The sequence below is a fragment of the Homo sapiens genome, chromosome 3 (genome assembly GCF_000001405.40).
Source record: "Homo sapiens chromosome 3, GRCh38.p14 Primary Assembly".
Taxonomy (NCBI): Eukaryota; Metazoa; Chordata; class Mammalia; order Primates; family Hominidae; genus Homo; species Homo sapiens.
Window position 1 is genome coordinate 172504625 of NC_000003.12, and position 27302 is coordinate 172531926.

Here is a 27302-nt window from a genome sequence, read left to right on the forward strand (position 1 = left end):
CCAGTGTTCTCCCCGTGTGTCTTTGAAACCAAATAACCAAATTTCCCTCCTTTTTTTTTTTTTTTGTTTTTTGAGACATAGTCTCTCTGTCACCCAGGCTGGAGTGCAGTGGCGCAATCTTGGCTGACTGCAAGTTCCGCCTCCCAGGTTCACGCCATTCTCCTGCCTCAGCCTCCCGAGCAGCTGGGACTACAGGCACACATCACCTCGCCTGGCTAATTTTTTGTATTTTTAGTAGAGACGGGGGTTTCACCATGTTAGCCAGGATGGTCTCGATCTCCTGACCTCGTGATCCGCCCACCTCGGCCTCCCAAAGTGCTGGGATTACAGGTGTGAGCCACCGCGCCCGGCCCAAATTTCCCTCTTCTTACAAAAATGCCAGTGGGCCAGTCGCAGTGGCTCATGCCTGTAATCCCAGCACTTTGGGAGGCCGAGGGGGGTGGATCACCTGAGGTCAGGAGTTCAAGACCAGCCTGGCCAACATGGCAAAACCCCATCTCTACTAAAAATACAAAAATTAGCCGGGCATGGTGGTGCACACCTGTAATTCCCAGCTACTCAGGAGGCTGAGGCAGGAAAATCGCTTGAACCTGGGAGGTGGAGTTTGCAGTGAACCGAGATTAAGCCATTGCACTCCAGCCTGGGTGACAGAGAGACTCTGTCTCAAAAAAAAAAAAAAAAAATACTAGTCATCTTGTATTAAGGGCCCATCCTTTTCCAGTATGACCTTACCTTAACTAGTTACATTCACAATGGCCCTATGTCCAAATAAGGTTATATTCTGAGGTACTGGTAAGACTTCAACATATCTTTCCTGAGGACACAGCACAACTCAACCCAGAACAAAGGTATTAGCCATAAATAAAAGAACTGATACATTTGATCATATTAAATTAAAAGTAAGAAATTTATTTCTTCTGTAATATGTGTCAAAGATATTATGAAAAAAAGATTAGAAGTCTTTTCCCCCATTTTTAGTAATCTTGATATTATGAAACAAGTGAGTACTAAAACAAAAACAACAATAAATATGAGCACTACAGCAAACATGACATACTGTAATAGAATTTTATTGAAAAAAATAACACGTACTTACTGAAGTTTTTTTTTTTTTTTTTTTTGAAACCAAGTCTCGCTCTGTCGCCAGGCTGGAGTGTAGTGGCATGATCTCACCACACTGCAACCTCTGCCTCCCGGGTTCAAACAATTCTCTTGCCTCAGCCTCTCAAGTAGCTGGGACTACAGGCATGTGCCAACACACCCAGCTAATTTTTGTACTTTCAGTAGAGATGGGGTTTCACTATGTTGGTCACTATGGTCTTGATCTCTTGATCTCGTGATCTACCCACCTTGGGTTCCCAAAATGTTGGGATTACAGGTGTGAGCCACTGCACCAGGCAAACTGCGATCTTTTAGTGGTGCCTCTTCTCTCTTTTGACTTAAGGATGTTGTCCCTTAAGGAAACCTGGAGGCTACTACTGTGATACACTACTTGAGAGATGGATTGTTGCTCTTTCTTCTACAGTCTTTACAAGGAGTAGATTATAAAGACAGAAGATGTTAACCATTGCATTAATGTTTGGAAGCTGACAGTCTTCTAGATTTCTGCTAGCAAACTGATATGAGGTAGAGTCCTGAAAGATCTTTCAGCAATTTCATTCTCTTGGGATAAGTGAGTCACTTTCAGAACAGTGTGTGTTGTAGAATTTTTTGGTTGTGGCTGCTCTACTCAGATTGCATAGAGGTTTTTTTGTTTTCTGTTTTCTGTTTGTTTGTTTTGGTCAGATTTTTTGAAACATCTTCATAGTGTATCATCCTGAAAACTGAATAGTCACTTTGAGGTTATTGCTTTTTCTTTCCAGGTCAGTTAGCCAACTAAAAAGGCCCCAAAAAAACTGGCTTCATGGTCCATGTCTATCAAGTGCTCATTTGTTACAGAAACAAAAATTCTGTCATTTTCCTTAAGCTCAAATATTCCCCCTTGATAGATGGAATAGAGTCCATATTCTGCATCTTTAGACCAACAACTATTTCTAGCACTTTTCATCAACAATATAGGGTCAGGATAACTTGTGTATTTGTAAATATATTGGACCATTTGTTTGTCGTTCTTTGTGTTTTCTTTTATTTCCTCCTGAAATCGAAAGTATGTTTGGGAATAGATGTAGTAAAACCCTTTTTCATGGATGACCAGTTCACCATTCCTCAAGTGCAAGTTGCTCAGGAATGAATGCCCACTCCTTGATGATTCCCAGGAGTTTATTTTGCGGCCCAGAGCCTTTTCATTCTTGGAGTCTGTAGGAAATTTAGAGAGAAAGAGCGTTAACAGAAGGGAATTTGTAGCAAAGCAAGGAGCTTTTTTGCAGCTGTGGCCAGCCTATATTTTTGTTGGGCTTGCCAGGGATTTCAATCTAATATCAAACTTCTTCCTCCTTCAATCTTAATGTGGATTATAAATTCTAGTCACATAGAAATTGGGAGGTTCCTGCATCATTGTGACATTGGGAACTGTTGGGAGTCCCTTGTCTTTTTATACCTTGTCAGCTGCTTATGCCACATGTGTCACACTTAGAATGGTAGCACAAGGGATGGCCCACTCAGATAGCAATGGTTTCTCCTGGGCAGAACTTCTGCCCTGAATCTGTTCCTCCCGTCTTGTGCTGGTGAACTTAAGTGGACAATCCAGAAGGAAACCGAAATAAACGTATCTATTTCTTTAGGCCTAAATCTCAGAAGTTCTTGCCATTCCTTTTGGACTCTTTGGGTCCCCCCTTGATCTTTCTCAGCTCTCCAGAGTCAAAGGCACATCCAAGCAGATGGCGTCTCTAGCCAAAAATAATAGAGGCACAAAGTTGGCAAAGGAGCCTAGATTTAAAGATCCTCAGATCCTTGAATCTTTCACACTCAAAGGTTTTGAATGAAAAATGAACCTTCCAAAATGATATTCATTTACACTTTTAGCCTATCTCCACGATTGGTGCAAAATTGGGCTTTTCCAGAGCGTAAACCAGTTATATTTATTGATGAGTAGCAAGCAGTAACATCATAATAATCCCCTCACTTGTAGGCAGAACATGACAATCATTTATAAAACATGAGTCCAAGAATGTCAAGAAGGCAACTACCCAGAAGAAACTAAACCAACCAACCAACCCCAAACCCCCAAACAAACTTTTTATCTATTAACTGATGTCTGAAATATTTTTAGACAAATTTACGGGATAAAGCCTCTGACAAAAATAAAGGTGAGTATTTCTTGAGGACATACAATAGACCAGACATTTTGCATCATTTTGTGGGTTAAGATTTGTCTCATCTTTGCATATGAAGAAACTGAAGCTTGACTAGGTTAAGTAATTAGCTCAAAACATGCATCTAGGTGAAGAGGAGCTGTGATTCCAACCTAGATATTTACACTATAAGACCCATGCACAGAGGCCTGGTGTGGTGGCTCACGCCTGTAATTCCAGCACTTTGGGAGGCCGGGGGGGTGTGGATCAGCTGAGGTCAAGAGTTTGAGACCAGCCTCGTGTAGTGGTGCATGCTTGTAATCCCAGCTACTCGGGAAGCTGAGGCAGGAGAATCGCTTGAACCTGGGAGGCAAAGGTTGCAGTGAGCCGAGATGGCACCATTGCACTCCAGCCTGGGCGACAAAAGTGAAACTCCGTCTCAAAAAAACAAAAAAAAAACAAAAAAATACCCATGCACAGTATTACATAGCAACATATCGACACATGTTCTGCCTATATATAAATTAGATGTAACATATATGGTTAAACTATATGAAACTGACATTTGTGTAAGTAAAATATGGTCAAATATTGGCAATCTCCTGTGGTTTAATTTAATGTAAATGCCACTAGGAGCACCTAGTGATTCATAGGGATAGTAAATGATTTAGAACCTTTAAAGAGAAGGGAGATTTGATGGCGAGCAAAGAAGAGAAGTGCAGAGGGATGGAAGAAGTAATCATAAGAGAGAAAGGCTGGGTGCAGTGGCTCACACCTGTAATCCCAGCACTTTGGGAGGCCGAGGTGGGCGGATCACCTGAGGTCGGGAGTTCGAGACCAGCCTGACCAACATGGAGAAATCCCATCTCTACTAAAAATACAAAATTAGCCAGGCGTGGAGCTGCGTGCCTGTAATCCCAGCTACTTGGGAGGCTGAGGCAGGAGAATTGCTTGAACACTGGAGGCGGAGGTTGCAGTGAGCCGAGATGGTGCCATTGCACTCCAGCCTGGGCAACAAACGTGAAACTCTGTCTAAAAAAAAAAAGGAAAGAAAGAAAGAAAAAGAAAGAAAGAAAGAGCGAGAAATTACTCTAAAGAAGGAAAAAAAATGGGATCCTGAAAACTGCAAAGACAAAATTCTCCCACTTTGTAATTTTCCTGAGGCCAGTTATGTCGTGGCAATAATTGAGCTGTTTGTCTGTAATCTTGCATCTGAAAACAGTCAATCTGAGATCTGATTAATACTGAGCATTTTGTAGATAGCCATATAAACATTTCAGATAAAATTCTTTAAAAAATAAGTTACTTGGCACAATCCTTCCATTATTTTCCCTTAAGTCACTTATTTGTTGTTTCTCTTACTTGGAGAAGACAATGTGTTGCTTCTTCCTCTGGTCCCAGTTATGTGAGCTGCTACTCTCTGAGGACCTCTTTCTCTCACTAGGGGAGAAATATTTTGTTGCTTTTCTAAAAGAGAAATGATAAAGGGTCATCAACACTTGCCAAACTAGTTCTCCAATACCTTGCTCTTCATAGGTGTTGTCAATCAGCCATCGTAAGCATACTGGGCTTCCAAAGTTGATTCTATGAGTTTTCATAAAAATAACATTTTGATATTATGATCAACCTACCTCAGCTTATGATCAACTTGAAAAGTACTTTACACGGAAAGAATAAGCAGTAACATGGATTATAATTTATTAGTGTCTCACGGGTAGGGTCCAAAGAGAAACAAAGTGAAGATACAACAAAGTGAAGATTCTATCCCTTTTCCAAAAATATAAATAAAGAAATAGCTGTAGCTGTGTAATAATCCTGCTGAGTTAAATTGTGCAAATAACTACGTATTGGCAAATTTCCACCTTGAATTACATACAGAAATAAACAGAGTGGTACCAACAAACAGATGGTCAGGAGATTGAGACTATCCTGGCTAACACGGTGAAACCCCATCTCTACTAAAAATACAAAAAAATTAGCTGGGCATGGTGGCAGGCACCTATAGTCCCAACTACTCAGGAGGCTGAGGCAGGAGAATGGTGTGAATCCAGGAGGCGGAGCTTGCAGTGAGCAGAGATCTCACCATTGCACTCCAGCCTGGGCAACAGAGCAAGACTCCGTCAAAAAAAAAAAAAAAAAAAAGAAATGTAACAAATGACTTTCTCTAAAAGAATCAGTTCAAACTTCCCAAGTGTGCTTACATTGGTTGTAAGTAAATTATATTCTTTCATCAAACAGACAGTGCTAGGGTAAGGCACTACACCCCAGAGGGCTACAAATATTAATCACTGATTTCACTGACCATGTCCTCAAGGGACTTACAGCCTTCTACAGAAAATATGAATTAGAAAGTGACAATTTGGAGGCCAAGATGGGTGGATCACTTAGCCTGAGAGTTTGAGATTAGCCTGGGCAACATAGTGAAACCTTGTCTCTATAAAAAATAGAAAAATCAGCCAGGCGTGTTGGCCTGTGCCCGTAGTCCTACTATTCGGGAAGCTGAGGTGGGAGGATTGTTTGAGGCCAGGAAGTTGAGGCTGCAGTGAGCCATGATCGTACCACTGCACTCCAGCCTGGGCAACAGATTTGTTAAGGTCATTTCAAGGATATGGATAGGAAAGCCTAGATTTGAAAGCAAATTTTTAAAAGAGGAAATTTCCAACTGGTTATAGCAAACACCTCCCAAAAAAGAAACCTGCAAATATGTATATCGAGGTACCATGGATATATCTTGGTATACAGAGTTGTGTTTCACCTTACTGGGATGAATAACAAAGAATTTTATTCTTCCAACACTGAAAACAGTACATGCATCTATCTGCTGTAGACCATTAATCTGGTATGCCTCATCTGAATAGGTGGAGTGTTCAACATTCTCACTACTGCTTTCACCTTTGGAGAAATGATAAGAAAGAAGGCTTAGACCCCAGGAACAGGTCCTGTCCTTTATATTTAAGAAAACATATTTAATAAAGGAAAATGGGGGTGCCAAGTGATGAAGAAGTTTATTGCATTGGAAAAGAATAACAGATTTAAAAAAATAACTGAAAGGAAATGAACAAGGTACATGTGATAAAAATAACAGAGTGCAGGGAATTTACTTAGAAAGGTGTCCAGGGAAGCCCTCTCTGAAGAGGTGACAATTACGTGAGCTGTAAAGTACGATGGAGTGCCAGATGGAAAGCTAAAGAAGCCAGCCTGGGCAACAGTAGTGCACAGAGAGGTGGGTCGAGAGAAGGCTGCTGACCATGAACAAGAGGGTGGTGTGGCCACAGGTGGAGACCGCAGGATGAGGATCGTGGGTGGGTAGAAAGATTGTTGGGAAAAGGATGATGGAGGAGGAGGCTTTTGTAAAGAAAGACCTGGAGCCCAGTGGTGGCCTGAAACAAAGAAGGGTAACTTTAAGGGACTTCATTTATTTCTCTCAATTTCCCAGAAACGATTTAAGATGGCTTCTTTGTAACACATTAGAAGGTAGAAACTAATAAGTGAAGAAATTAAGGTGAAAGGAAAATTCATGGGGAAGAATAAAATTAAGTTGAAATAAAGTTCTGACCATAGATGGGCCACAGATTTGGTTCTGAGCTTCCTAGCTGCCAATGTAAAGAGGGAAGTAGAATCAACAAGTGGCTTGAGATACGGAGCAGCAGATCAGAGGATGGATGAGTGGATGAGAACACAGAGAAGGAGAATGGAGAACTATTCACAACCTGTCATGAAGATGACAGTAAAAAATTAAAATAACAACAAAAAAGATACTACCTTGAACTGTAGAAATGGTTTCCTCAGAGGTTCTCAAAATCATCTGCAAATATTATTGAATAAAGCTTGTTAATTTCCCTAAAAATTTAAACTGACTATAGAATGCCTATGGCTCATCTTGCTGATGTCTAACAGGAAATTTCTACATGCATTATCAATCTGGGAAGTTTTAAGTTGGTCAAGCATAGGGTCTGTAAGGGGTGGGGTGGGAGCTGGGATAAATATTGAGATAGCTGTCCCAGCACAGCAATCAAGGGATGGTCCCCTGCCTGGGAAGTTCTGTTGCTGGATGAAGTCTTGGAAAGGCCACACCTGGAGCAGTGCAGGAGGAAGAAGCCATCCGCCATGTGATGTCAGCCAAATGTGGCTGATGGGTGTGGCAGCCATGTCATGTCACTTTCTGTGTGTGGGGTGTATGTATGTGCACATTCATGTGTGTGTGTGTATAAGTGCACTGGGTAGCAGAGCCCAGGGGCTTAAAATTATTGGACAGACCCAAGCCTCAAGATGCAGGGCACACTTCCTCTCTCTCAGGATGCCCACAGACATACATAGCCTATCGAGGTATAACCTGACAACACCGTGTCATTCTTTCACTTCTGAGAATGTGGCTGAGCCATTCTCAACATAAAGATATTTTACCATCTTCCCATATCTTTGCTAAATATCTAGTAACCTCCCCCAGCCTTTGTACTAACCAGTGGGGAAAACCAGTAAGAAAGAGTGAAAACCAAACCTCTCTATTAAATGGGAAGACCCTGACTTGGCTCATCCATGGCTTCTGAATTCAGCTCTGTCCCTCCTGCCACCTTCTCCCATCACTGCCCTCTTTCTCAGTCACTGTAGTTAATGTTGCAACTGTCAGAAACTTGCCTTCTCTGTACTTCCAGCCCAAAGCAGAAGCTCTCTGCTTCTCCCTCCACCGCAAGCCCTGATGCCGGATAATGGGGGCAGGGAGTGGTGGCGGTGGACTGACTGTAATCAGTTCCCTGGGCACTGACTTACGGGAAGGGGAAGTGAGAGGAAACCACAGCATTCTCTCTTATCTCTGCCTCTCATTTCTCTCTGTGTGTCTCTCTTTCCCACTCTTACTCTCTTTCTCTTATTCTGCAACAGAAAGGAAGGAAAGAAGGGGAAGCAACAGGAAAAAGAAAAGGGTCTTTCCTACAATGTGGGAGGCAAAATAAAAAGAGTGACTAGAAGCATGGCCAGATGCCCTGCATTCAAATGTTTCAGTTACTGGCTCTGTGAGACTGTTCAAGTTATTTAACTGATCTAAACTTCAATTTATTAATCTATTTTTAAAATATATTTAAGAGGATAATAACGATTTATTATTCAGAGCTGTCGTGAGGATTAAATGAGATAATGTATGAAATGGGCATAGGATATTTACTGGAATAAATCTGTTCAACTAATGTGCCTGAAAAGAAAAAGAGAATTATTTTTCCCACATTCTCACCTATTCCCTCTGTGTTCTCTCCCAGCTTCCCGCTATTCTAGTTGGTAGCAGGATGTGAGAATGGGAGGGAGAATGGCAGGAATAGCAGGAAAGAGAAATGTCCTCACTATTTCTCTTATCTCCCCACTCCCTGTCCACAGCACCCAGCCCTCTCCTCAGTCTCCAGATTTCCACCCTAGTTCTCAGTCTCTCTGCCCTGCTGGACAATCGCACCTCCACCCTCCCCAAGCCCCTATCCCGGGAACTTGGGAGTTTCATTTCTCAGCTTCCTCAGGACCTTTCTCCAGCCCAGGCTTTTCCTAGTCTCCTGGTCCTTGCCCCCTGAACACTTGCTGTCATTTGCAGTGGTGGAATCATAGCTGCTTCCGTACAGCTTGTGTGGAGTGGGCCCCCCTGTCTGGAGCAATGCCGCCAGGGCAGCCACAGAACAGGTATGTTTCTAGGACTCCTAGAAGGAAGTCTAGTTTCATTTCCCATAGAAATAGCATCTCACATGTGTCAGGGCTCTACTGTGAAAACAGCTCAGGATTATCAGCTTGATCCCTAACCACCAACATAACAGTATTTATATGGAGAAACAGATGCAGAACACCAAACAATGGACTTATAAACATGTGTAAAACACATTCTCCTCCTACCCTGGGAATTCCCCCAGTTAACGTCTTTAAACAATGGTGGTGTATGTGGTACTTCATAGTTTACAGAGTATTTTTATAGCTGTGTTCTCATCTGATATTTTCACATAGGCAGAAGCAATTTTTTTTTTTTTTTGGTTTTTGAGATAGAGTCTTGCTCTGTTGCCCAGGCTAGAGTGCAGTGGCATGATCTCAGCTCACTGCAACTTCTGCCTCTTAGGTTCAAGCAGTTCTCCTGTCTCAGCCTCCCAAGTAGCTGGGAGTACAGGCACACACCACCACACTTTGCTAATTTTTGTATTTTTAGTAGACACAGGGTTTCACCATGTTGGCCAGGCTGGTCTTCAACTCCTGACCTCAGGTGATCCGCCTGCCTCAGCCTCCCAAAGTGCTGGGATTACAGGCGTGAGCCACTACACCCGGCTGCAAATATTATTTAATGCCATCTTATAAAGAAGGAAGAGCCTAAGAGAAGAAACTTGATTAGATCTGTCACTCTGCCACATTTAGTAAAATAAACTGTTAACTAACATGTCTCTGCTGGAGGTCCTGTTTAAGCAACTTCCATAAACAGATACTTTTTGTAATTTGTTATTTATTGGCTGTAAATTAAGAAAAAACCACCTTCAATTTCTCAAAGTATCTCTTTCTTCCCTTCCCTTCCTTTCCTCTTTCTTTCCTCTTATTTTCCTCTTTCTTTATCTCTATATGCATACAAAAACAAATATTTAATTCCAGACATCAGCAATGTGGGAAGAATATAAAATATCATTATTTGATCTTCTTTATCTTTTGAATGAAAAACAATGCCACACATTCTTTATGACTTTGTGACCTTCTCTTCATTACCCTGTGTGTGCCTCAGTTTCCATAATGTGAGATCAAAAGGTTAGACTAGATGTGGAGGCTGTCCGGGGCAGAGGAATGAACTCTAGACCAGGAGTCGGCCAGGTCCTGCCCTTTGCTGCTATGCCCCATTTTCCTAGTTCTATGAATTTGGGGAAAATTACTTAAATACTCTGGGCCTAAGTTTTCTTATTTGTAAAATGAAGAGTCTAGACTTGATTATCTTAAAGATTCCTTTGCTTTAAGGAATTCTTCTGGCCTTCTCCGCCTGCTGGTGAGGTCACCTGGTGAGGTTACCTACCTTTCTAACGAGCTGACGGAGTTGCCACTTGACTTGCCAGCAGGGGCTGTTCATACTCTCTTCGTCATTGGGGTCCCAATAACTGTCATCTTCTTTTAAGAAACAAGCAATGCCACTTTTGGAGTACTTGTCCTGCATCTGGGTTGAGATGGAATATAACACAATATTTTGCATAAGTGCTTTTTATTTTTGTTCATTTGGAAGTTAAGACAACAGAAACTGATAGCAGACTTAAAGAAGTTTTGGCATATTGAGTAAGTTCCTGTTTGAAATAAAAGTAAGCATGCTCTCCTTTGTCCTTAAAAAAAAAAAAAAAGAATAAAAGTAAGCAGCTGGATATGGTGGAAAGGATGCAGGTGTGCTTCAGGCATCTGGAGTCACAGTGTCCTTCCCTGCCTCCCTTACTAAACAGCTGTGCTTTTCTTGACAAGTTGCTTCCATTCTCCTGTGTCTGTTTATAGTTTTGAGCCGGTTCACTATGGTGATTCTGAGGTCTCTTCCAGTTCTGCCATGGTATGTATCCCATTTTGAAGCTGGAAACCTACCTAGATACAAGGTCGGTAGTGGAGTCAGTTTACATTTTAGGATCCTAAATAAAAAACAGCCAAGTCATTTGGGAGGGGGTCATGTTCTGTTTCTAGCTGTGGCTAGCTAAATAGATTCTAGTTACTGATCTGATTTCTACTCCTCTGGCTGGCAAAATCTGGACCATGTTGCCACTAGAAATCTGAATGCTGTCTCATTAAATGTTTACACTAACTAGGGATTTATTGGTAGAGACCTTAAACACTCTTTGAAGGTTTTCTCCCTGTTCTGATTGAAAGTAAACAATGGCAATAGTCAGATCATTATCAACGAGCTCCTCACCCTCATCAACAAATCCTTGCTTGATGTTATAAACACACACACACACCCACACACACCCCATCCCAAACCACCCAGAACTCTTTAGGCTGATAATTGTTTAATTGAGAAAAACAGGAAACAGAAGGTCCAAACAAAGCCAGAAGGGTTTTGTTTGTTTGTTTGTTTGCTTTGCTCATTTCTTCTCTTCCGTTTTGTTTTGTTTTAACAAGTGGGATGGAAGAGACGTTATTTCCCTGAAAAAATCTGCTGAATTGGCCAGGCGCGGTGGCTCATGCCTATAATCCCAGCACTCTGGGAGGCCGAGGCGGGTGAATCACAAAGTCAGGAGATCGAGACCATCCTGGCTAACCCAGTGAAACCCCATCTCTACTAAAAAAATACAAAAAATTAGCTGGGCGTGGTGGCGGGCGCCTGTAGTCCCAGCTATTTGGGAGGCTGAGGCAGGATAATGGTGTGAACCCGGGAGGCGGAGCTTGCAGTGAGCTGAGATCGTGCCATTGCACTCTAGCCTGGGCAACAGAGCGAGACTCCATCTCAAAAAAAAAAAAAAAATCTGCTGAATTGACTACCTAGGGAAATAAATGAGAAAATGACAATTTTAATCTGTTATTTGAACTAAGGTACTGCAAAGGTTGAAGGGAGGATCAAATTGAACGATGATTCACTCCTTCCTATAGAAAGACAATATCATTTTAAATCAAAATATCTTAACTGTTTATGAGAGGTCCCAGCTAGAATCACACAGTTCTGTACTCAGCCATGTAACCCTTGGACATTTGGCCAAGGTCCCTCAAATGCAAAGGTGCAAACTTGAGTTAATAAATTTCTTCCACACACCCTGACATAGATCATTCATTTACTTTTAAACAAATGTTTATTTTGTTTCTTCCTCTTTTAAATTACAAGAGAAAAACATTCCCGTAGTATATGTAGTTGGAGGTGAAGCTGGGGCCTCCTGAGTTGAGATATGACTGGCCATGGACTTAGGTACATTTCCTTGCCCCTGCCTGCCCCACCTGTAAACATCCAGTTGCACCTCGAATTGACTTGGGAGATGCAAAACCTTTCCAAGGAAGGCACTCAGTCACATATGATTCAGAAATATGAGAGCATGTCTAGCAAACTGTGGGAAAGGATCAAGAAGGAAGAGACGAGAAACTGGGATCAGCCACAAGGCCCGAGGGTGGTTCCAGGAAGAGCAAACTTTCCCTGGACACTGTCCCAGTTCACTCAGTATGAGTTGGCTCTGGCCAAGCTTCGGTTTGATTACACTGAACAAGCAGGCTCACAAGTCTCTGTAACTTGTTGGGGCAAGAAGGTGTGCATAACACAGAAAGGAGGGAGCGGTATGCCTTTTCACTTCACATCAGCTGTAAGCTATCTCAGCAGGAAATGGCTGAATATGGGAGGCTTCAGCTGTGAGAGGCAAGGTGCAGAGTTGAAAGCTGCCTGTGATCAGGCAGTAATGGCAGCAGGCAACAACTTATCAACTGAGGTGGAGTTTGACAAGGATGGTCGTGGTGGAGCTTGTGCCACAGGGACTAGCCCAGGTTAGCACCAATTGCTGGCTAGAGCCTGTGATCCCTTCTGAGTATTTTCCAGAAATACTTTCAGGAGGAGGTGGAAGGAACCTGGAAAATTGAGTAAGGTCCTGGGTATAAGTGGATGGGAGGTTAACAAGTTAATGTAGCTACATTATTACCCAGGAGTTTATAAAGCCTGGATACATTCAGGATACACAGGCAAGCAGGGAAGCATGGAAAAGTAAAGAACACTTTTCTAAAAGAAAAAAAAAACCCTCCAAAAACTAAATAAGTAAATCACAAAAACAAAACAAAACAACCACTAATAGCAGCTATATTCTCACCTCCTACTTAACCTTTGGATGATATCTCTTGTTTACAGGGGTGAGATCAGACTGTGTGTGTGCATAATTTTGAGTATGGTTGTTTTCTCATAAGACTATATAAAAATGCTGTGTTCTTTAAATCTGTATGAAAATTATACATGGATAGCATGGATATTTTTATAACATTCCCTGTAGAAAATTTGTAAAATATAGAAAAATAAAAAGGAAAAAAAGTACCCATAATCATACCATCTAGAGATCACATTGTCATTTTGGTGTTTCTCTTTCTAGACCTTTTTATGCATAAATATTGATTTCTGAACAATAGAAATCCAGAGAGGAAGCCCCAGTCACTCTCTCCACCCTCACATGTTTCTTGCATCATGAATTTTGGTAGTTTCTCCTATAGAACTTGGCCAATGCTGGTGACTAGACACATGGCGGGTTGACGTGAGGTGCTGTGGTTATTCCAAGAATGATAATTAATACGATACGTCTCCCCCGCCTCCTCCCATCCTTTCCACTTCAAAATATGAGTTTCCTGCAGCATATCATAGGCTGAGGCTATATTCTCTAACTAACCACACTTGGGCATTGGGGGCAGAAGGTAGCGTGTGGGGATTATTTTCATTTGCGTGCCTCTGAAAAGAAAGCTCTTGCACTGGGTGCCTGTTCTTCAGCTCCAGAAGCCCTTGGTTCTGAAAAGTGGATTTCCATGGTGACTGCTCTTGGTGCTGTTACAAACACGGTGGTTGTCTAGGCCAGGGTCAACCAGTCCTTGATGGGGCTTGAGGTCAGCAGGGTAGACTCAGCAAGGTAGACTTCAAGATGGCAGCAATGACCCTGTCTGCTGCCCAGACATTAGTCTCTGGCAATCATTTTCTGCAAACTGCAAATAGCATAAAGGATCATTTATGGAGATCCGTGGAGAGGAAGCCCTTCTCCTTTTTCCTCCCCATCTATGATGTCACAGTGACAGGCCATTCCTTTATCATAAAACTTTCTCAGAGGGACACAGATTTCAGGGGCTAAGCCCATATTTGTTGTTCATGTTTGCTGGTCTACAGGCTATTTGTGAAGGTCCAATCCAATGTTATGAAGCCTTCCTTAACCCTTACACCCTATAATCCTTGCAGAGTGTATCTTCTGCAAATGTTCACCAGACAAAGTGGAGCCTGTATTCAATTTTAAGAAATTAATACTTATGTTGAATATACTTTTCCAAAGTCTACACAGAAGATTCAAACTTATTTTCCCTTTGGAAAATTTCTGATGAAGAAAGTGACACCTTCAGGAGACTTTTCAGCAGTAATTAGAACGCTACTATAAAAATAGCATTGTATTGTATTGAAAAAATGTATTGTAAAAAAAAGTAGGTGCTTCAATTTATTGAGTACCTCCTTCATGCCTGGGTTCAAAATCAGGTTTTACCTTTTACTAGTTTTGTAATCTTGAACAAATCTCTTAACTTCGCCTGAGCTTTAGTTTGTTCATCTGTAATATGGGGTAATTATACTTACATAATAGAATTGTTATGAGAATTGAAACCAGGCAATACTTTTCAAAGTTGCTGGTACACAGTAATTGCTCAATATCTGTAATTCTCCTAGCTTTCTAGCACTCTCAATGAATTCTTCTGCATGCCTAATGTACATGTGTTCATATGTCAATATGCAATTAGGAAAAATGTATGCAAGTGGGAAGATCTTAAGCCTTATATGAAATTTCCATTTTTATAGTAGAATTGAAAAAGAAATTTGATTATATATACAGACAATTGCATGAGTCAGTTGAGTAAAGAACTGGTTGATTCAATCTTAAAATTAGTCCAACTTGTAATGTAAGCAAATTGATGGAGCTACTTGTGTGTGGAGTAACAGCTTTACTCTGTTTATGCTGCAAAGTTAAGAAAGGTTAGGAAATTCTGGCTCCAAATTGGTGAACATAGCAGTATTCCAGTCTCTCGTGTAGACTTAAAGCTAAAGGTATGATTACAGTTTCATTAATATTTTTTTCTTACAAAAGAAAATCTTTTCTAAATGTGTCCTACAATAAACCTGACTTTACTGGTCATCTAATAGTAGCCATAATTTTCATAATTAGTTGCAAATAAAACAAGAGTCTGCCTCATCCATTTCCAAAAGAAAAATTTCCGACTGATTGGGATAACCAAACTTACATTCCACAGGATATGCAAACTACATTTCCCTAGCAAATAGTTACTACTCTATGTCTTTTGCACAATTTATACTTTTCTGAGATCCTTAGCCTTTCATTTCCTAGTCAGCTGGCAGAGTTGGTGCTGCAGGATGCGCTGTGCATGCACAGTGTACATCACAAGGTGTAGATAGGTTAACCCTGTGGACATCCCACTGTGGAGGGAAGAGCCTACAGACCTGGGTGCTAGCCGCCCCACGGCCAGCCTCCAAAGCCTTGTCTGAACTTGAGTACATTATTTCTTGTCTCCTCGTCTGTAAAAAGTGGTTGTGGTGGTGGGGGGAGGATCTGACGTTCCTTGCAGCTCATAATTCTCTACTATTTAATATACAATGAATTAAAATATATATTAGAAGTCAAAAACTGAGTTGGTTTATTTTCAGCAATTTTGCAGTCATAGTTCCAGGGGTTTTCATCGAGAAAATCATAAATTAAAATAGCACTGTTTGTTTGTTTTGTCTGTCAAAGATACCTCAATTTGTACATGGACCATCCACAGGCAGAGATTGGCAGTTTGCTTTTCAATTGTTTTATCATGAACAGCTGTGTCTATCTGATAACTTCTTTATTACAGATTTTACCCATGACATGCCCGTGCCCCAGGAATAGGCAGAATGCCAGTCCTTTGTATTCTCACTTATTGTCAACACAGGAATGCCACATAACTAAAAGCAAAACATTTCAAAGATGTGAAAGTTCACCAGGACTAGCTACATCTGGAATACAAAACGGGAGTGTTCAGTGACTTAGGGCCTGGCTTTGGGTTGAGCCTGACTCTACCCTTGTCGCCTGCATATTCGTGGTGCCTACCACATCTGTGAAGGCTGTTCATTCACTCAATAAGTATGTAGTGAACCACAAGTATTAGTATTAGTGGCTACTTGGGAACCACATGCTAGACCCAGAGGTATACTAATGAGCAGAAGCAGACACAGCTCTGATACAGCTACCCTCACCCTCAAGAATTCATGAGTCAAGAACTGTAACTCCAACCTGCAACAACAAAGCAGGGAAGATGGCTACAGTTACCAAAACAGCATGTTACTGGTATGGAAACAGATACATAGACCAATGGAACAGAACAGAGGCCTCAGAAATAACACTACACATCTACAACCACCTGATCTTTGACAAACCTGACAAAAACAAGCAATGGGGAAAGGATTCCCTATTTAATAAATGGTGCTGGGAAAACTGGCTAGCCATATGCAGAAAACAGAAACTGGGCCCCTTCCTTACAGCTTCTACAAAAATTAACTCAAGATGGATTAAAGACTTAAACGTAAAACCTAAAAGCATAAAAACCCCAGAAGAAAACCTAGGCATACCATTCAAGATGGCATGGGCAAAGACTTCATGACTAAAACACCAAAAGCAATTGCAACAAAAGTCAAAATTGACAAATGGGATCTAATTAAACTAAAGAGCTTCTGCACAGCAGAAGAAACTATCATCAGAGTGAACAGGGAACCTACAGAATGGGAGAAAATTTTTGCAATCTACCCATCTGACAAAGGTCTAATATGCAGAATCTACAAGGAATTTGTTTCTTGTAAAACAAATTGACAAGAAAAAAACCACATCAAAAAGTGGGCAAAAGATATGAACAGATACTTCTCAAAAGAAGACATTTATGTGGCCAACAAACATGAAAAAAAGCTCATCATCACTGGTCATTAGAGAAATGCAAATCAAAACCATAATGAGATACCATCTCACTCCAGTTAGAATGGTGGTCATTAAAAAGTCAGGAAACAACAGATGCTGGAAGGATGTGGAGAAATAGGAATGCTTTTACACTGTTGGTGGGAGTATAAATTAGTTCAACCAGTGTGGAAGACAGTGTGGCAATTCCTCAAGGAACCAGAAATACCATTTGACTCAGCAATCCCATTACTGGGTATATACCCAAAGGATTATAAATCATTCTACTATAAAGACACATGCACACATATGTTTATTCCAGCACCATTTACAATAGCAAAGACTTGGAACCAACCCAAATGCTCATCAGTGATAGACTGGATAAAGAAAATGTGGCACATATACACCATGGAATACTATGCAGCCATTAAAAAGAATGAATTCATGTCCTTTGCAGAGACATGGATGAAGCTGGAAGCCATCATTCTCAGCAAACTAACACAGGAACAGAAAACCAAACACTGCATGTTCTCACTCATAAGTGGGAGTTGAACAGTGAGAGCACATGGACACAGGGAGGGCAACACACACACTGGGGCCTGTCGGGGGTGGGAGGCTAGGGGAGGGAGAGCATTAGAACAAATCCTAATGCCTGTGGGGCTTACAACCTAGATGATGGGTTGATGGGTGCAGCAAACCACCATGGCACATGTATACCTATGTAACAAACCTGCACGTTCTGTACACGTATCCCAGAACTTAAAGTAAAATAAAAAAATTTAAAAATAAAGAAATCTGTTTGCCAGAATTCACAAAGAGCAATAGACCTCATGTGAGTTATGAATCTGAACTTCATCCTGCTGTGTGCTATTGGATAAAGACTCTAAGAGCTACATTACAGATTTTTTCGACAGGAAGTATCACAGTAACAAGGCCCTATTTAAAGGCTGTTGCTACTGCTGTGGAACAGATTTACCCATTTGTGTTTGAAAGCAGGAAAGAAATTTTATCATTCACCACTTAATTGGTTAGAATCTCTTACTGTGCACCTTTTAAAACCTGCTGCACATTGGACTCAAAAGGAAAACTGAACCAACGGTAATTGAGGAAATAGACTCTTTTATTTATTCATGGCTACAGTGTAAGCTCCAGTCCCTTTGGATTTTATTCCAAACCTTGTTATAATATAAAAAAGGAAGTTTACAAGACATGTCATTGCTGCTTTTACAAAAGGACATTCTATTTATTTTCGCAGGAATTCTCATGTCCCCATAAGCAGAGCTGTCACAGTGTGCACTACCTTAGGTTGTTTTATTGTTGTCATTGTTATTTTTTTCCATTTTGAGCTAATGTGTTTTATCTGTGAATAGTCTTTTACATTTTTGTATGCTGAAAATGGGCACCAAAGAACCTGTAAAAATTATCTTTTTCAATTGAATGTGCACAAATAAAAGTTTGGAAAAGGAAAACAAAAGAACTACAAAGCATTTAGCAGAAAGCTTTCATGAAGAGTTGCAATGGCTGATATTATAAAATACACATACTTTTAAAAACAAAAAATCCCTCAGGAGTTTTGTTGCCCACATCTGCTAGTAACTAGTGAAGCCAGTTGTGTAACTGCACTTAGTTTACACAATTTCTTGAACTTACAGTTTTGCAAAGACCTCAGTTGTTATGTGATTTAGCAGTTAGAGTGTACCCACAGAGAAAGGAAGCAGGAAAGTCTTCAGAGAGGGGCAAGCTGACATGCAAAGAAGCAGGTAACCAGACATTTGCTAAGCGCCTCGAAGACTGAGTGCACTGCACTGCACTGACCTGCTTCAGCTCGTTGGTAAAGTACACGTAAGTTACAGCCACACAGAGAGACTGCAGGAGCACTGTGAAGATCACGATCAGCACGCAGGTCTGTCCCAGGCTGGGTCCCCCCTGGACCTCCATCATAGCCATGATCCTGTCAGAGTCTGACTGCTGTAAGTCAGCCAGGCAGCCGGTCACTGAAGCCCTTCCTTCTCTATTCTTTTATAGTCAGTGAGGAAATGAAAGCGAATGAGTTGTTTTTCTGGGTTCTGTGGCCTTGGCCCCACCCACATCTATTGAACCTGCAACTGTCCCTCCCCTTTCCTACTGCCCAGGGACAGCTCTTGTCTCAAAGTAGTCGTTGGAAAGGAGGGAAACTGAAAGAAGCTCCTCTCCTTGCCCTCAGGATCCATGCACCCCTTATCTGCACTCACCTCAAGCCCATTTCTCTCTTCTCTTTCTTGCTCTCCTTTTGATAATGTCCTCAGCCAAAGAGGGGAGGGATTTTCTTTGCTTTTCCCTAACATATCCTCATTCTACCACAGAGCTCTAAGCCTCATGGCCTGGCTGTCATAGGCACAAGGCCTGTTTTCTAAATTATAAGATAATTTTTATGACCTGAAACTTCCATATGTGGTTTTTCTCATGCTACTGTGAGGGTGGGAAGAGGGCAGGGTGGGAGTGGATAAAGGAAAATAGAAATACTGTCTCATAGCAATGGTCTTGCTACATAATTCCATCTTGAATGTCAGAATCTAAATATTGACGACTTCTTCCTCTTTGCAAACCTTCAGACACAAATTCTAATCTCCTTCTCAGATCTCCATCCCTACCAAGACAACATGCCTGTGTGTTAGGCTGGACAGGTAGGAAGTAGTTGACACACTCAGAAAGGCAAAGGAAAAAAACATGTGGATGTTTTCCAAAATATTAACCCCATCACAATGTCTCGCTGTCACTATCCTTTTACAGATTAGGAAAAGAAGTTACAGGGAGTTAATTACCCTCAGATTCAGGACCCAGCCCCAAATCTCCCCACTATCAGATGTCATAAGCTGGCCCAGCTGTATGTTGTCTCTATATCTTATTCAGCATTTCTTTCTTTCCTTTTCTTCCTTTCTTTCTTTCTTTCTTTTCTTTTCTATTCTTTCCTTCTTTCCTTCTTTCTTTCTTTCTTTCTTTCTTTCTTTCTTTCTTTCTTTCTTTCTTTCTTTCTCTCTTTCATGTATTTATTTATTTTTTTGACAGAATCTCACTTTATCGCCCAGGCTGGAGTGCAGTGGTGCAATGGCACAATCTCGGCCCACTACAACCTCCACCTCCCAGATTCAAGCAATTCTCCTGCCTCAGCCTCCCAAGTAGCTGGGATTACAGGTGCATGCCACCATGCCCAGCTAATTTTTTTGTATTTTTAGTAGAGATGGGGTTTTACCATGTAGGCCAGGCTGGTCTCGAACTCCTGACCTCAAGTGATCCTCTTGCTTCAACCTCCCAACGTGCTGGGATTACAGGCATGAACCACTGCATGGGGCCATTGTTTAGTTATTCCATTCTTGACCCACTGAGTCAGAGTTTCTGGCAGTGGACTTAGGAACCTACATTTTTCAGCAAGTACTCCAAGAGATCCTTTGAAACCTAAAGTTTGGGACCCTAGATCTACAGTTACATTCCTGAGTTCATTCAGGCACCGCTGGTCACCATCACTTCCTGCCCTTGCCTTCTATCTGTAAATGAGTCTATATTTAAGAAAATATTTTCAAATTTTAAATTTGCCTCTGTCAAATTGCCAAATTTTTAAATGCAAATTCCTTTCAGACACAGACAAATTGGCAAGGTAGCATTTTTCCTACTAAAAGTTTTAGACATTATGTGAACCTAACACTATTTGAACACACTTACACTCTAAGTCCTAGACTGAATGAGTTTTTTAAATCAGGTGAAAGATGAGTAGGATAACCGTAATGCACAAGACACACAGCCGGGCAGGGCAGAAACAAGAAACGAGAGATGGCAGAGAAACACAGGGGAGAAGACCAAAGAAAACCAACTTAACACCTTTGTTATAATCCAGAAATAGAAACATTACGGCTATGATGTACGTGAAAGGCATGAAACGAAGGAATGGGAAACGTGCAGGAAGTCAACATCTCTATCTTATAAGCACGTAAGAAAGTCTAGAGTGTGGAAATAAGGAGGCTTATCTCGGGGTCAGGTCAAGAGATGGGGTGATTTGAGGAGTTACAAGAGTCGGCTGGGCGCGGTGGCTCACGCCTGTAATCTCAGCACTTTAGGAGGCCGAGGCGGGCGGATCATGAGGTCAAGAGATCGAGACCATCCTGGCTAACACGGTGAAACTCCATCTCTACTAAAAATACAAAAAATTATTAGGGCATGGTGGTGGGTGCCTGTAGTCCCAGCTACTTGGGAGGCTGAGGCAGGAGAATGGTGTGAACCCGGGAGGCAGAGCTTGCAGTGACCAGAGATCGTGCCACTGAACTCCAGCCTGGGTGACAGAGCAAGACTCCAGCTCAAAAAAAAAAAAAAAAAAAGTCAAGAGGTCTGGCTACCTCTATCTTTGAGCCTCCTAACGTATTAAATATGAAGATATTATATATACATATTTGATATAGAGAAATCTTAATCTTTTTGTTATAACAATGTTTAAATAATATAGAGCTAAAGCCATTATTATTATTATTACTAGCATGGATCTGCTGACTGGCATCCATACATTAACCATAACCTTTAATCAGCAATTCAGTTTCTTTAAACTGGAGTGAGAATTTGTTATTTTATTTTATTTATTTATTTTGAGACAGAGTCTCACTCTGTTACCCAGGCTGGAGTGCAGTGGTACAATCTCAGCTCACTGCAACCTCCACCTCCTGGGTTCAAGTGGTCCTCCTGCCTTAGCCTCCCGAGTAGCTGGGACTACAGGTGCCCGCCACCACACCTGGCTAATTTTTTTTTTTTTGTATTTTTAGTAGAGTCAGGGTTTCACCATGTTGGCCAGGCTGGTCTCAAACTCCTGACCTCAGGTGATCCACCTGCCTTGGCCTCCCAAAATGCTGGGATTACAGGCGTGAGCCACCATACCCGGCTGAGAACCTTTTAAAAATACTTTTTTTTTTTTTTGAGACAGAGTCTCACTTTGTTGCCCAGGCTGGAGTGCAGTGGTGGGATCTCGGCTTACTGCAACTTCCGCCTCCCAGGTTCAAGAGATTCTCGTGTCTCAGCCTCCTGAGTAGCTGGGATTACAGCTGTGCACCACCATGCCTGGCTAATGTTTTGTAGTTTTAGTAGAGACGGGGTTTCACCATGTTGGTCAGGCTGGTCTTGAACTCCTGACCTCAAGTGATCCACCCTCCTCAGCCTCCCAAAGTGCTGAGATTACAGGCTTGATTACACACTGCACCCGGCCTGTTTTATAATTTTTAAGTAATTTTTAATGAAGTCCTTACAAAGCATTAAATTCAGCATTCCAAGAAACAACTCATATTTTATTGGCTTCCATGATATTTATATGAACTATGTAATTACAACTGGCATAATCAGTTCTGAGAATAATTTAATTCTTGTTAGATATATAGATGGAAACAGAAGAATAGCCTAAGTTCTTCATTCCCTGTGTGGAACATACTGACTGAAGGTTAGAGAACTTCCAGTGTATCTTGTTTCCTTTTTTTTTTTTTTTTTTTGAGACGGAATCTCACTCTGTCCCCCAGGCTGGAGTGCAGTGGCGCCGTATCCGCTCACTGCAACCTCCACCTCCTGGGTTCAAGCGATTCTCCTGCCTCAGCCTCCTGAGTAGCTGGGATTACAGGTGCATGCCACCACACCCAGATAATTTTTTGTATTTTTACTAGAGATGGGCTTTTACCTTGTTAGCCAGGATGGCCTCAATATTCTGACCTCGTGATCTGCCCACCTCGGCCTCCCAAAGTGCTGGGATTACCGGCGTGAGCCACCACGCCCAGCCTCTTGTTTGTTTCTATACTTATTTGTTTATTTTATGGCTACCCCATTTATAAGAATGTAGGTTGCATGAGAGTGAAACTTTGCCACATGCATTGCTACCAATGCCTTGCACACTGTGAGCACGATCTATGCTGGTTGGATGAATGAGCATTTCATAGTCTCCAGAATCTTAAGGCTCTTTACCTCAGGAGCAGCAGTGTGTTCTGCAGAATGGTCACAGACACAGAATTGTTAAGTCTTCCCCACCAAGCCTTACAAGAAATCTATTACTTGTTTCCTAGTGCATGACATCCCTAGACTAAGTGCCAAATATTTCATTCTGTGAATAAAGATGTTAGTTAAAATGTAAATGTTAAAGTAAGTTTAAGTAACCACACTGGGAGGCTTGGATTGTTTTCCTAATCAGACCAAGGGACAAAGGAGGTGAAGAGAAGACTGTACATTCCTCAAGCAGAGATGCAGGAAAAGGTTTCGGGACTATAAGGCTGGGTATTTCTCTAAAAGATCTATACTTCCAGCACTTAATTTTGCCAATAGTTGATCCTTGTTTGCTTTTAACATGAAGGGAAAAACAGAAGCTGTTGCTGCCACTGGTGCCCTGTGAAGATTTTTGAAGATTTTTAAAGATTTTAAAACTTTTCTTCTGAAGTAAGGATTTAATTATAAGAGCTGTTAGGCTGGGCGCGTGCGGTGGCTCACGGACATGGTGGTGCGTGCCTGTAATTCCAGCTACTCCGGAGGCTGAGGCAGGAGAATCACTTCAGGCTCGGAGGAGGAGGTTGCAGTGAGCTGAGATCATGCACTGCACCTCAGCCTGGGCAAGAGCAGGACACGTAGACTCAAAAAAATAAAAAGTAAAATAAAAATAAAAATGAAGTCTTGTCAGGTCTTGGACACACTGTCTTTGAGTGAAGAAATGAATTCTATTATTATTGTTTTTTAAATTTTTTTTTGAGATGGAATGTCGCTTTGTCACCAGGCTGGAGTGCAGTGGCATGATCTCTGCTCACTTCAACCTCCGCCTCCTGGGTTCAAGCAATTCTCCCGCCTCAGCCTCCCAAGTAGCTGGGACTATAGGCACGTGCCACCACACCCAGCTAATTTTTGTATTTTTAGTAGAGACGGGGTTTTGCCATGTTGGCCAGGCTGGTCTCGAACTCCTGACCTCAGATGATCTACCCGTCTCGGCCTCCCAACGTGTTGAGATTACAGGCATGAGCCACCACGCCCAGCCAAATCCTATTATTTTTATAATCAGACAATGGTAGAATCATAAAATGACTGGACTGTTAGACATCTTAAAGACCCCCAGGAAAATTCTATTGCTTGGTTGATAAGGAAACTAAAGCACCAAAAGTTAAGTGAGTTAGTCGTGGTTGTTGAATTACAAAATGGCAGAATGACTAGAATTCACATCTATTTGCTTCCAGGTAAATTGCTCTAAACTTTGGCTATTTTATCCACACTATATTGGAGCAAAAACAATTCTGTATTCCTCAAATCATTTATTCCTCCTCCCCCCATCACACTAGATATGACATTGGATATGTGTTTGGACACTTCTGCCCGAGCATCCATACTCCACCACTCAATAGCTGCTCATTCAGGCTAGTAATCTCATATGTGTTGGGACAACTGAGCTTCCAGAATGAAGAGGGCAAACTGCTGCCAGGTGAGTCCTCTTAAGCAATACAAAGTATCTGTCCACTTTTTACAAACTCTTTGGAGATAACAGCTTTTTTTTTTTTTTTTGAGACAGAGTTTCACTCTGTCTCCCAGGCTGGAATGCAATGATGTGATCTCGGCTCACTGCAATCTCTGCCTCCTGGGTTCAAGTGATTCTCCTGCCTCAGTCTCCCGAGTAGCTGGGATTATAGGTGCCTGCCACCACATCTGGCTAATTTTTGTACTTTTAGTAGAGACGGGGTTTCGCCATGTTAGCCAGGCTGGTCTCGAACTCCTGACCTCAGGTGACCCACCCGCCTCAGCCTCCCGAAGTGCTGGGATTACAGGCACGAGCCACCACACCCAGCATCTTCTGAGAAGACTTCAATAGCTATTAAAACAATTATATCAGGCCATGTGGAGGTTGCAGTGAGCTGAGATCATGCCACTGCACTCCAGCCTAGGTGACAGAGCAAGACTCCGTCTCAAAAAAAAACAAAAACAAACCAAAAAAACAGCAATTATACCAACAGTAGTCACTACCTAAGTGTTTCTTTCTTTATGTTGGAGGATGGGGTGGGGTATAGGTTAATATGGTAGATCTTATTATTTTCTCCAATTCTTCATCCATCTCTCTATTCATACCTTTTGCCATGTGGCTTCACAGTTCATATCAGTATATAAGGAGTATATATCCCCTCTTCACCCATGTGGGACTTGGTAATGTGATCTGACCATTGGAATATCAGTAAACCTAACATGAGAAGGCTTAGATTAAAATTTCATGGTTGGTCTTGTCCAACTCTGTTATTTCCATGAGAAGACAAACACTGGGTAGTCCAAGGAGGATGAGAGATACATGGAGCTGAGATAGACCCAGTCCACATTTTGGAGCCAAAGTCAGCTCAACACAGCCTAGATCAGCTGATTCCCAGGCAACCCATGGACAAGTGAGCAAGAATAAATAATTATTGTGGCAATAGAAAACTGATAGAGCTTAGGACTGGGGATTATTTAAATACATTCAGCTACAATTAACAAAGAACGCCACTTAAGATAGCTTCAACCAAATTTCAAGTAGTGTTTTAGTGTCAAGCGACTAACACCAATTCCGACAAATGGAAACAGAAAAATGACTTTATCAAAAGGATATGGGGTTGTTTGAATCTTGGTGGCGGCTGAGGTTGCTGTAAACGTAGATTTGGAGCTGTCAAATCCAGAATCACCAAAACCTATCCACACTGTCACTCTGGTAGCAATATAATTGCTTCCACCACAGGATACACACATCACAGGAGCAACACTGGTGCCACCTACACTAGACATCAAAGGCTGCTCCTAGAACCAGTGATGCTGCTTTTCTGGAAACTGAATACACACGCAGTCACTCGGATAGCAATATAACTGCTTCCACTGCAGGATACACATATCACAGGTGCAACACTGGTGCCACCTACACTAGATGTCAGATGCTGCTCCTAGAACCAGTGATGCTGCTGTTTCTGGAAACTGAATATACACACAGTCACTTTGGTAGCAATATAACTGCTTCCACCATGGGATACACATGTCACAGCTGCAACACTGGTGCCACCTACACTAGCCATCAGAGGCTGCTCCTAGAACCAGTGACACTGCTGTTTCTGGAAACTGAATACAGTAGTCAGTGGACAAAACCCCCAGAACAGAATCTGCTCAGTGCCTTCTTCTGCTTCATAATTCATGAGCTTCATAATTCATCACTAGCTTCTGTTTCGTGTGTGTTTATGTACCTGATTGGCAGAGTCTAGGTCATGTCACACCCTAGCTTCAAGGGAGGATGAGAAGGTGAGTATCTAACATTTTCAGTTTATCGGATGAGAAGTGAGCTCTGCCTTGCAAGTTGGGAAAATTTCAACACTGGAAGGAAGTTGCATGCTGGTTAGTCAAAGCAAAAGCTAAATGCCACAGCCAGAAGGGATGTTATCAGCTCAAACCACAAGGGACCTTTTCAGCTCATTGATAACTGTCAGGGTAATAGTCTGTTGCTACACAGCAGGCCTACAAACCTGGCAGTCCTAGAGCAAAAGTTCCCTCATGCACTTTTCCAGTTAACCCCCTCCAGGTAATTACTTTTTGGCTTTTTTTCCTCCTTAATATAATGTTTTTGAGATTTATCCCTATTTTGCGTGCATCAGTAGTTTGTTCTCTTTTATTAGTAAGTAGTATTCCATAATTTATTTGTCCCTTCTATTGATGAGCTTTAGGGTTGTTTTCAGTTTTTGATAATTATGAATAAAGTAATGTTGAATGTTTTTGTAAAGTTTTTATGCACAAAAGCTTTTTATAAAGTAAGTGTTGAAGAATAGAATTTCTGGTCACAGTGTAGATGTTTAACTTTTTTAAAAAACTGCTGGCCAGGTGTGGTGGCTCATGCCTGTAATCCCAGCACTTTGGGAGGCTGAGGCGGGCATATCACCTGAGGTCAGGAGTTTGAGACCAGCCTGGCCAACATGGTGAAACTCTGCCTCTACTAAAAATACAAAAAAATTAGCTGGGCATGGTGGTGCTTGCCTGTAGTCCCAGCTACATGGGAGGCTGAGATATGAGAATTGCTTGAACCCTGGAGGTGGAAGTTACAGTGAGCCAAGGTCTCATCACTGCACGCCAGCCTGGGCAACAGAACTAGACTCCATCTCAATTAAAAAATAAAAAATTAAAGGCCAGGTGTGGTGGCTCACACCTGTAATCCCAGCACTTTGGGAGGCTGAGGCAGGCAGATCACAAGGTCAGGAGATCGAGACCATCCTGGCTAACACGGTGAAACCCCGTCTCTACTAAAAATACAAAAAATTAGCTGGGCGTGGTGGCGAGCACCTGTAGTCCCAGCTACTCGGGAGGCTGAGGCAGGAGAATAGCTTGAAACTGGAAGGTGGAGGTTGCAGTGAGCCGAGATCACGCCACTGCACTCCAGCCTGGGCTATAGGCTGGGTGACAGAGCGAGACTCTGCCTCAAAAACAAACAAAAAAAATCTGCCAACAGTTTTTCAAAGAGGTTGTAACATTTTAC

At 41.8% G+C, this 27302-nt stretch overlaps 1 protein-coding gene and 1 pseudogene across 4 annotated transcripts, besides 1 other annotated feature; one reads left to right on the plus strand and one right to left on the minus strand.

Annotated features, from left to right (window-relative positions):
• Positions 1-883: 883 nt before the first annotated feature.
• Positions 884-18806, minus strand: TNFSF10 (TNF superfamily member 10). 4 transcript variants are annotated; one of them, NM_003810.4, is made up of 5 exons: positions 18629-18806; positions 10237-10374; positions 6993-7035; positions 4593-4697; positions 884-2295 (listed from the first exon to the last, which is right to left on the minus strand). In NM_003810.4, the coding sequence occupies exons 1-5, from the start codon at positions 18758-18760 to the stop codon at positions 1868-1870; spliced, it is 846 nt and encodes a 281-aa protein (NP_003801.1). In that variant the 5' UTR covers positions 18761-18806; the 3' UTR covers positions 884-1867. The 4 variants fall into 4 exon arrangements, 3 of the variants coding, with proteins under 3 accessions (NP_003801.1, NP_001177871.1, NP_001177872.1); NR_033994.2 differs by lacking the exon at positions 6993-7035; NM_001190942.2 differs by lacking the exons at positions 4593-4697; positions 6993-7035.
• Positions 17604-18277, plus strand: TBPL1P1 (TBPL1 pseudogene 1; annotated as a pseudogene).
• Positions 18738-18787: an enhancer, noted in NCBI's record as "active region_20826". NCBI's record gives its function as "activates an Ori minimal core promoter by ATAC-STARR-seq in GM12878 lymphoblastoid cells {active_cell/tissue: GM12878}" and the evidence as "EXISTENCE:reporter gene assay evidence [ECO:0000049][PMID:35858748]".